We start from the raw sequence: 11,616 nt of genomic DNA on the forward strand, positions 1-11,616 counted from the left end.
CATTTCTGGAAATACGGAAGGCAGGGCAGGCCAGAAGTACTTGGGAATTGACATTCCTAGGAAAAGCCATGAGACAGTGAGGATGAGAGCTGGGGAAAGGCCCTCTCCTGTCTACAGACATGTTTGTTTTACTGTCCTGGTGAACTGAAGCTTTGTCATTGAGTACTGACACTCTATTTATTGCTCATGGTTTTGCCTTACATTTATTTTTCTGATATTTACATGTATTCTTTGGTTAATGTTTTCTTGCTATTTCTCTTCTCTCTTTTTAGTTTTTTATATGGAAATGTCTAAACATAAAATAGAGAGCTTCGTGTAACAAACTACAATGATGCAGCTTCAAGAATCAGCAGAAAACCAACTTTTGTATTTTAAACCTGTTTTTAAAGAACTAAGTTGGCTTTTGAATTTTCTCTCTTGGAGATGTTTTTCAAAGAACCAGACCATTCATCCATTCTACCTATGTCTGATTTCTAACTCAGGGACTTCTACTTTTACCTATATTAATTCCTTCTTTTTACTTTTTTTTGCCAGGTATAAGGTTTGTTTTAAACTTCAATTATTCTACCCTTCATTTTCAAAATTTTTAATGTGATTCTCTTTTTATATCTTTTTTCTTTGTTTAATAATTTCTTCTGCTTCTTTTACATTTGAATAATTTCTTCAGTATTTCCGCCAGAATGTCCTATAAAATTAATTCTATTTGATGTGAATGCATGCTTCTAATGTTTCCAATGCTAGTTTTGGGGATCGGTCATTTGGGCTGGAATCCAGGTCTGCTGGCCCTGGTTTTCAGATAGCTCTTCACTCAGTTATGTGACTCCATGGCATTAAAAAAGGCTTTGAAAGGCCAGGTGCAGTGGCTCACGCCTGTAATCCCAGCACTTTGGGAGGCTGAGGTGGGCAGATCACTTGAGGCCAGGAGTTCGAGACCAGCCTGGCCAACATGGTGAAATCCTGTCTCTACTAAAAATACAAAAAATTAGCTGGGCGTGGTGACACGCACATGTAGTCCCAGCTACTCAGGAGGCTGAGGCAGGAGAATTGCTTGAACCCAGGAAGTGGAGGTTGCAGTGAGCTGAGATCACTCCACTGCACTCCAAGCTGGGTGATAGAATGAGACTCCATCTCAAAAAAAAGTGGGGGGAGCTTTGAAAGCCTCACAAATTAGGCAGACAACTGTAAAAACTTAAACAAACTATTATGAAGGCTTAGTAAGGTATTCAAAGCCAGTGGATTGTTAGACGTCTCCATGTGTTTTAGAATTGTGGTTTGCAAGCTCATGTTGCATGAGAACTTGAGTTTCTGTTTTTTTGTCCCCCAACCAAGGAGCAGCTCTGGGCCCCCTCTCTGCCAGCTCCCTCCCATCCCAAGGCTCACCTGGGCCAGCCTCCTTCTCCCTAGGGGCTGGGGCTTGTCTAGCAGAGTCTCAGCACTGCCATCTGTGAAACCCATCCCCTCCCTTGCCCACAGTGTCCTTGGCCAAGGAGCCCTAGCCCAGCCCAGCCCAGCCAGCGGCAGCAGCAGCTTTTTCTCAGTCACTTTCACCAGCAGGGCTGGCCTGACCCCTGCCCTGCTTTAAGCAGGGAGCTGTCTCCATCCCCACCTCACTCCTGACCCTCCAGCACCTGCCTCCAGCCCCAGAGCCCAGCCAGCCATCCTCAGCCATGGGCATCCCAAACCTGGCTTTGGGTATGGATTTGTTCTTCTAGGTTTTATGTTTGAGGCAGCACCATGTCCCCACACCACCCTGCCTATTCGTGAAGAGGTCTGGAGAGGTGGTGTGACTGCACAGCATCAGGGACTGGTCAGCTGAGGGATGAGGGCTGGAATCCAGGCCTGCCGGCCCGACTCTCAGGGCACACATCACTCTGGCAGGGGACTTCATGACATTAAACAAATTAGGCAGACAAGTGTAAAAACATACAAACTATTCTGAGACTGCTTAGTAGATAAGCTATTCAAAGCCAATGGTTTATTAGAAGAGGGAAAAATATATGTGTGTGTGTGGTGTAAGTGTGTCTGTGCGGTGTGTGTAGTGTGTGTATGTGGTGGGGTGTGTGTGTGGTGTGTTTGTGTGGTATATGTCTGGTGTGTGGTGTGGTGTATGTATGGGAGATGTGTGGTGTGTGATGTGTGGTGTGCATGTAGTGTGTATGTAGTGTCTGTATGGTGTGTGGTCCGGTGTGTGGATGTGGTGTGTGGTGTGTGTGATGTATGGTGTGTGGTACACTGTGTGCATGTGTGTGTGTGTGGTATGGTGTGTGTGATGTATGGTGTTGTGTGTGTGTGTGTGGTATGTGGTATATGTATATGTGATATGTGTGTGGTATGTGTATGAGGTGTGTGGTTGTGTGTGTGAGGTGTGTGGTGTAGTGTGATGTGGTGTGTGTCTGAGATGTGTGGTGTGGTGTGTGTAGTGTGTGTGTTGTGTGGCATGTGTGGTGGTGTGTGTGTGAGGTGTGTGGTGTGGTGTGTGTTTATGGTGTGTGTGTGTGAGGTAGGTGTTTTGTGTTGTATGTGTTGTGTGTGGTATATGATGTGGTGTGGCACGGTATGTGTGTGAGGTGTGTGGTGTATGTGGTTTGTGTGTGTGGTGTGTGGTTTGTGTGATGTGTGTGAGGTGTGTGGTGTGGTGTGTGTCGTTTGTATGTGTGATGTGTGTGGCGTGTGTGCACACATCTGTGTGGTGTGCGTGTAGTGAATGTGTGTTTGGGTATGTGTGTGTTGTGTGTGTATGGTGTGAGTGGTGTGTGGTGTGTATGTGTGGTGTGTGTGTGGTGTGTGGTGTATATGTGTGGTGTGTGTATGTGCCTGTGTGTGTGGTGTGCATGGGGTGAATGTGTGTTTGGGTATGTGTGGTGTGTGTGTGGTTTGTGTGTGTGGTGTATATGTGTGGGGTGTGTGTGTGGTGTATATATGGGGCATGTGTGTGGTGTGTGTAGTCTGTGTGCATGGCATGGGGTGTGGGTGTCTGTATAGAAAAATGAAGAGGAGCTCCCTGAGTTAACATACCTGGGACCCACTGGACAATTGAGCCTCATGTTTTTTTAAAACCTTAATGGTTAGAAGACTGGGAAATAGTTTTTTTTTAAACCATAAGCAATTTCTGTGCCCAGAAGTGAGGAATTCCTTGGGTGGAATATTTCGTTGCTCTGGTAAGCCTCACAGTGTCATTGGTGTGCGTTTGGCCGTGGGGGAAGAAAAGGAGGAAGAGGTGATGGCTCCAGTGAAACTGCAGGGACTTGGCGCCAGTGGAGCTGGCAGTGGCCTCCACTGGCCAGTAGGGACCAATCGTTAAACCCACTCTTGGTCCAAAATTGAATTATTTTAAAACCAAGAGTACTAAATCCTCAATCCTCAAACCTTATCAATTCCTAGTTATGTTATCCCATTTTATTCTGTCAGTTCCGGAGGTTGTTGATGGTGGAAATACTCCACGACAGGGTGCAGCTGCACCTCTCTTCCTGATGTGTCCAGGGAAGTCATATTGGGCACTTTTAATTGGTCAGTGGTAGGAGCATTGACACCATGGAATTTGGCAAACTCTACAAGCCAGGGAGTTATTTTGAACCCCCAAATCTGATTGTTCAGTGTGGATCAGTATACCACTGCTTAAAGCCGTGGCTTTTTGGCTTTCCAGGTTGATGAGGCCTCACTCTCCCCTTATATCGGTCAGAATAGTTCCTTAGCAATACGGGAAGCTACTCTCCTGTTAAGATCTGTTAAGATGTGAGTATGGCCGGGTGTGGTGGCTCACGCCTATAATCCCAGCACTTTGGGAGGCCGAGACGGGCAGATCACGAGGTCAGGAGATCGAGACCATCCTGGCTAACACGGTGAAACCCCGTCTCTACTAAAAATGCAAAAAAATTAGCCAGGCATGGTGGTGGGTGCCTGTAGCCCCAGCTACTCAGGAGGCTGAGGCAGGAGAATGGCGTGAACCCGGGAGGTGGAGCTTGCAGTGAGCTGAGATCGCGCCACTGCACTACAGCCTGGGAGACAGAGCAAGACTCTGTCTAAAAAAAAAAAAAAAAAAAAAAAAAAAAAAGATGCAAGTATCTCAGTATCTTAGGACAGCCAGGGATAAAAAACATGGTCATTCAAAAACAAATAAGCCCAAGTTGTTTCAAATATAAGAGGAAAAAATAAGGTAAAACTGTCAATTTCTTAAAAACAAACTACTAGTTAAGGAAAAACCATGACTAATAGAGAAGAATATATTATTGACCATTTCTAGAACATGCACACAAAAGACAAAGCTAGAGTTGCCAGTATTAGTATTAGCAGGAAAATTATGCCAGTAACAGTATTAGCAGAAAAAAAAGGAAGCAAATTTCATGTTCCTACATCAGAGAATAGCTGAATAAATTATGGCACTTACAATTCAAGGAAAGATGATGTGGCTAATAAAATAATGGGTACGATCTGCATATATGGCCATGGAATGCTTTCAAGATATGGAAAAGGTAACATGATTAGTACAATTCCATAGTGATTTAAAAGGAAAACTACCTCACATAAATAATGCACACACACAGACACACACACACTCACAATTACTTATGTGTTATGATCAGAGGAAGTTATGGAAGGATGTTGTTTTGGTCTGCTTGGGGTATGATAGGGTTTGGCTGTGTCCCCACCCACATCTCATCTTGAATTCCCACGTGTTGTGGGAGGGACCCAATCGGAGGTAGTTGAATCATGGGGGTAGGTCTTTCCCATGTTGTTCTCATGATAGTGAATAAGTTTCACGATATCTGATGGTTTTAAAAAGGAGAGTTTCCCTGCACAAGCTCTCTTCTCTTGTCTGCCGCCATGTGAGACGTGCCTTTCGCCTTCCACCATGATTGTGAGGCCTTCCCAGCCATATGTAAGTTCATTAAACCTCTTTCTTTTGTAAATTGCCCAGTCTCACGTATGTCTTTATCAGCAGCATGAAAACGGATTAATACAGGATGCTATAACACAACAGCATACAGTGGGTGGCTTAAACAACAGAAATTTATTTCTTACAGTTCTGGAGGCCACAGCCTTAGTGTTCTCTTCTGAACATGGCTTCTCATTTTTTACAACATAGATAGGCTGAGATTTTTCCAAATCTTTAAGTTCTAGTTCTGTTTTGCTTAGCAATTCTTTCTTCAATCCATTATCTTTTCTCACATTTCACTATAAGCAGTCAGGAGGAACCAAGCCACTCCTTCACGACTTTGCTTGGAAATATTCCCAGCTAAAGATCCCATTTCATCTTTTACAAGTTTCACCTTCCACAAAACACTAGAACAGGAACACATGTCAGCCCAGTTTTTTGCTACTTTATAACAAAGATCACCTTTCCTCTGCTGTCCCACGCCATGTTTCTCATTTCCCCCTGAGACCTCACCCACATGGCCTTTGGTATTCCTACCAGCATTCTGCTCATGGTTGTCTGTGTGTCCTCTGAGATGATGAATGCTTTCCCTCCAGCTCTCCTCTCCCCTTTCTGAGCCCTCAGCAAATTGACTTTAGTGCTTCCTTCACAGCTATCTCAGCTTTTTCTAGCATGGACCCCCAAACTCTTCCAGCCTCCACTCATCACCAAGCTCCAAAGCTGCATCCATATTTGTGGTTCTTGGTTACAGCAGCATCCCACTCCTCAGGGCCACTTTCTGTCTCAGTCAGCTTAGGCCGCCATGGGGACTGGGTGGCTCAAAAGCAACAGGCTCCCAGTTCCAGAGCCTGGGAAGTGTGAGATCAGGGTGGTGGCAGGGTCAGGGTCTGGTGGGGGCCCTCTTCGTGACTGGCCAACAGAAGACTTCTTGCTGTGTCTCCCATGGTTAGGGTTGAGAGAGCATGAACATGCTGGTGTCTCTCTCTTTGTATAGGGCACCAATCCAAACATGAGAGCCCCACCCTCGTGACCTTATCTCCTCCCCAATGCAGCACCTCCAAATACCACCACATTGGAAATCAGGGGTTCAGCACGTGGATTTTGGGAGTCCATAGCAGAAATACACCCAATTTTTAAGTATCTGATACGTGCATTGGGAGTGAAAAAGGCTAGAAGCATTGTTTCATATATCTTTATTTTGTTATAATTTATCCTATTTTTTCGAAAGAGATCTTCCGCTTCTTTTTGTTTTCTGAATAATTTGGTCCTAAAGTCATGAGGTGGGCTGAGCAGGATAGGGTTCTATTCTGGCATGGACAGGGCAGTACCCTGAGTCAGAGGAGGTGCAGGAGTTTGAGCAGGGTGAGGGTCGTGCTCATGGAGGGGAGGCCTGGTGTAGAGGTGAGAGCTGGGGGAGATTGGGAGGCATCCTTTGGTGGGGGCAGCTGACTCAGATTGTATGTACCCCAGCAGGGGCAGGTGGGTACCCCACAGGGGGGCTGAACGCTGCAGCTCATGTCTATTCCTTATGTCTTTCAGGGTTCACCCAGGGCCCGAAAGCTTGTGTCTGGACCATTGAGAAAGACAACTGGACCGTTCTATGTGGATACGAACATGCAGGAGGAAGTCCATGCTTCCTAGCACAGGCCCTAGAATCAGAGTAAACGAGGTCAGAAGTCAGCTGCCCCACTGGCTGTGTGCCCTAGACAAGCCAGGGGCTCCTCTGTGCCTCAGTTACCTCACCTGGAAAATGGGAATCACTTTGGAGGGACCAACTTGTCCTGGTTTTAGCACTGAAATTCCCACTTTCCAGGAACTCCTCTCCCCTCCTTCCCAGTCCTGGCAAAGCCACCCTAAATAATCCCCACAGTGCTAGGCTGCGCTGAGAGTAAAGTGCTGAGCGCGGGGCAGTCACTTGGTAACAGGTAGTTACTGCTTTCATAATAATGGAAGCAGTTTACAGACATCTGCTTGGGAGAAAGTATGAAACTGTCCACCACCCACAGTCTGGAACTGCTAGGCTTTTAGTTTGTGGAGGCCTCGCCGACTGTCTCCTTCTCTTCTGCAGTTAGAGAAGGGCTGCAGGAGTGTTAGCAACAACTCAGCCAGAAAGAGAAACCAGTGTATTTCCTGTGATCAAGTCACACAGCCTAGGCTGCAACAGCGAGACAGCCAGTAGTTAAGAAGTTGGCTCTAAGACTGAGCAACCAGGAAGAGCTTTGGCTGTGGGCTAAGATGGAAACCACGAGCGGAAGTCAGACATAGCCCAGGGAGAAGGGGGCTGGGCAAGGCATTTACTCATTTAGAAATCTATCATCTCTCTCTCTCTGCCTACCTATCTATGTATCTATCATCTATCTATCTCTTTATCTATCTGTTCATCATTGATTCATTCCTTCCTTCATTCAAAAAGATGTCCTACATATGGTTGCTTCATATTGGTTGAGCTCAGTTATGTTGCTAAAAAGATTTTTTTTTCAATTTAAGAGGCATGGACATTTTGCAGTGGATTTCAGTGGAAAGTTGATGTTTGTGGGTTCAGAAGTCAGTCCTTCCCACACGAGCTCCAGGCCCAACACTTGCATCTGCTGGGAAGCAGGTTGCAAGCCCTGTGAATGCTTCCGGGACAACAGTTCCCTGTCTCAGCCTCTGATATGAGCTGTGCCATGGTGCACACTCTTGCAATGGGGTGGCACGAATATCGCAGTCAGCCAAGATCCTCTGCTATCCTAGAATTCCCAGGAAACTCCCCTTGAGAGCTTTAATCATTTGTTTGCCCTTCAATAACTGCTTATGGAGAAGTTCCCAGACTCACTGACACCTATCATTTTAGGGGACAGTTATGAATGAAAAACACTTTAAATTGACAATGATTGGGCTGGGCGCAGTGGCTCACGCCTGTAATCCCAGTACTTTGGGAGGCTGAGGCGGGCGGATCACCTGAGGTTAGAAGTTCGAGACCAGCCTAGCCAATATGGCGGAACCCCATCTCTGCTAAAAATACAAAAAATCAGCCAGGCGTGGCAGCGCACACCTGCAGTTCCAGCCACTTGGGAGTCTGAGGCAGGAGAATTGCTTGAACCCAGTAGGTGGAGGTTGCAGTGAGCTGAGATTGTGCCACTGCACTCCAGTCTGGGTGACAGGAGTGAAACTCCATCTCAAAAAAAAAAAGAAAAGAATGATTGAATTGTTACATTTCAGTTATAATACATCTTTTAAATTATGTTGTAAATCAGTTGACAATATATTATTTAATGTCCCAAAATATATTAGTGTCTATACAACTTTGAAGAGTTATGAAGTATGGCAACATAAAATTGCAGAAGCAACTCAAGTGCAATATACAGTGGCTGTAAATATACTTTGTAGCTAAGTTTTTCTGGACACGGAAGTGGGAAACATTCAACTTTTTAAAACTAGTGATTTCAGCTCTCTAGACTAGACTTAATTTTGTGTACAGAAAACAAAACCTTTTCCCCAGAACATGACTGCCTGCTTTTTCCCTGACATTGCATAGATGCCATTTGGCATAGAACATTTTTAGATTTATGTGCCCAATTGTAGAATCCTTGACAAATAATGCTTCTGGTATGGACTTCTGAAAATGACCCCAGTGTCAGCTTGCATTTAAGAGCACATTTTTCCATGGGGAATTCTAAAAGTATGGCAGGTACTGACTTTCCCAGTGAAGATGTGGCCAGGGTTGGCAAATTCCCAGCACAGTGTCCCTGCCCCGTTCCGTGGCAGACATCACTAAACAATCAGAGCCTCAGGCCCCGCTGAGTGTGGGCTTGGCTCCACAGGAATTAAGGCAGTGACAGCCGTACTGGCAGATCGGACTGGGCATGTAAGATGAACCCGAATGGCCTCCTCCTCAGGTGAGATACTTTGTGCTGACGGGAGCTCTATTGGTGTTCGCTTCATCAGCCCTTGCTACACAGTTTAGAAGCCATCGGAGCTCTCAAGTCTCAACCCTCAGAAATGACTGTGTTAACCAATATCCTGTCATCTCCATCTCACCTCCTCGGCCCTGGGGTTGTCCCCCTGGCCAAGAACCACCCTGTAGGTGATGCTGGGCCATACTTGCCCCTGCACAAAACCCCGCCTGGATCCCAGTGGATTCCTCAGCACCTGTGTGGCTGTGGCATGTGGGCTTCCAGAGATCTTGTGTGAAGGGAAGACCAAGCCTATAGCCCTGGAGGCCAGGGGCCAAATTTGGAATATTTTTCCAACACCCACAGTGTTGCAGAGCTCTCTATACTGAGTCCTACAGTTTGGTACCATGAGGAATTACAGTGAGGCAATCTATTTACAAATGAAACAAAAACAGGCTTTTATGGACTGGCCTGGGAACCTCACCCTTGCACAGATGGGAAAATGCATTCTCACTGCTGAACAATAAGCCCACGAAAGCACTGGCTCGCCTGGGACTGCCAACACGGGATGGTGTGCGCTGCCTACAGACCAGAGAAGTGGACAGTGGCGCCTGCCGCAAGCTGCTGGGGCACCCGCTGCAGAGCTGCGGCTGAGGGGGAGGTGGGCTTTTAGCCCCAGCAACTTTAAAGATCCTGTCTCCAGTGCTCCATCAGGTTTTATAAAGAGATCTGAATATTCGAAATTTTTAAGTTAAGATTTCGATGGTTTCTAAAGACAAAACCTTTGCTATCAGGGCACATTTGTACACAGGGCCCCCAGTCTGACTTTTAAAGAGCGCAGCCAGGAGCCAGGAAGGCTGAAACGGAATCACACTGTTAGTCCCTGGCCGCCTCTGGCTCTGCTCTGCTGGAAGGGCCCTGCCCACTGTCCTGAGGAGCTCAGGATCTCATGGGTTCCAGGTAGCAGGTGAGCTTTCTGTGGCCCCATACACCAGGTGTTCCATGCCACCTTGTGCAACCCACTCCACTCAGCTCCGCTTTCCATCCCCAGACCCCCTGCCATCAGCTGGAGACCTGAAGGTAGGGAACAGCTGTCCACATCCAGCGGTGACTGTGGGAGGTTCACAGCACACTGAGGAGGAGCATTCATCTAGACCCCGAGCTGTCCAACTTACTGCCTTTGAAACCCTCTGAACCCTGGGGAGGCACTGACTAGCTTTGCTTTTCTGTCCTCTCGGCTCCCATGAGGCACAAATGGCCTTTCGGTTTTCCTGCAGCCACTGGGACTGTCCCAGCTATGTGGGCAGCACCTGGACTGTCTTGGTGAGCAGATTTGAGATTTGGTCAACAACAGTCTGTGATTTCTATCAAATGGCAGCCTACTACACACATATGCCTTTCAACTCCAGCTACATGAGATATTTTTATGTGGTTTTTCCATTTTCCACATCCTGCAATTATTTAATAGGTGTTGTGGCTGTAAGATTCTGCCGCTGACAGTTGGGAACCTCTTAGGAGCCCTCTTCCCGTGTTGGGGAGCAAAATGCTCTGCCCCAACGTGACTTTCTATGTTAGTTTTGACGGCGCTATTTCATTTTCTGTCCCAGCTCATGCTTACCTGGCCTGCTGTGGACAGGCCTCATCCTAGCAGCTGCTTCTCTGTAGAAAACACACAATAAACATCCCACTGCCAACAGCAGCGTACATCCCAGAACTCATCGGCCACCGGAGCCTGAGACATTTGTTAACATGACAAGGCCAACGGCAGTGCAGAAAGTGAAAATCTTTGAGGAAGCAGGTGCGGCCAGTCTGCATTCGTCTCAAGCCCTCCCAAGTTTACAAATGAAATCATGAAGGAGCCCAGTTCTCTCCAAGTATAAGCTCCCAGGAGAGGGGTTCCCACTAGGGGCTATATCTAAAATGGGTCATTGTTCTTGCAGACAAATTCGCCTGCACTGTCCAGTAAAACAGAGGGGCATACATTCCAGGCGTGCCTTCACACATCACTGTGGCTCGTAGCCACGTGTCAATGTGGTTCATAGCCACTCCCGCTCACTAAATCACACTGCCTGGGCAGGTTCTCCAAAGATCAGAATATGGAAGGGCAGCACAGCCGGCCTCAGGGCAAAGCAGTGAAGCACTGGGCCCTGTGTTCGCTGTCTTTGGACCTGGCTGTCCCCTTCTTCCCTCACGCACCTTCTCCCCACACCTATTGTACAGAAACCACCATGTGTGACAATTTGTGACCTGTTTTCCCTGTTCCCACACCACCCCCTCTGCCTGCCTACGGTCAAATCCAATTCCCCTGGCTTCCTTCTTCGTGTTCCTATTCCCAAACCCTTCTCCCTTTTTTTTTTTTTAACACCTTTCCAGTTTCTCTTTTTGGAAGTGGGCCAGAGTCAGCGATCAGGGCAGCTCTTTCTGTGAATTGAAAAGGACAGGTGCGTCAAGCCGGTGTAGATTTGCTAGACTCCCCACAGGGTCCTTCTTCAAACCCCTCCTTATTTTTATTAAGAAGAAAAATCCCCCACATCTCAAGCTCTCCCTTTCCCAGCTTCAGCCTGCCCTGCCCACCGAAGGCATTTGCAGTTACCCTGCTCTCTCCTGGGCTTTCTCCCTGGCTCCTGCCCAGAATATTCTAGAATATAGACTCCAGGAGGACTAGAAAAAGCAACTCAGTGGTTTAAAAAAGACTGCTTTGGAGAATGACATCTTTAATGCTAAAAACGCTAATTGTCATTAACTTCATTATCTTCGTTATTCTTTATTCATCAAGTTCTTTACATGGAAAGGACCATGTTTCCTCCAGGACTCGTAGCTGACACCACCCCACCCCCCATTAGACAGCTTCCTCCACTGCTGCCAGAA

The 11,616-nt window shown here is 46.9% G+C and overlaps 2 annotated features.

Moving 5' to 3' along the window:
* Positions 6,712-6,951: an enhancer, noted in NCBI's record as "active region_18505". NCBI's record gives its function as "activates an Ori minimal core promoter by ATAC-STARR-seq in GM12878 lymphoblastoid cells {active_cell/tissue: GM12878}" and the evidence as "EXISTENCE:reporter gene assay evidence [ECO:0000049][PMID:35858748]".
* Positions 7,092-7,251: an enhancer, noted in NCBI's record as "active region_18506". NCBI's record gives its function as "activates an Ori minimal core promoter by ATAC-STARR-seq in GM12878 lymphoblastoid cells {active_cell/tissue: GM12878}" and the evidence as "EXISTENCE:reporter gene assay evidence [ECO:0000049][PMID:35858748]".

The sequence above is a fragment of the Homo sapiens genome, chromosome 21 (genome assembly GCF_000001405.40).
Source record: "Homo sapiens chromosome 21, GRCh38.p14 Primary Assembly".
NCBI lineage: Eukaryota > Metazoa > Chordata > Mammalia > Primates > Hominidae > Homo > Homo sapiens.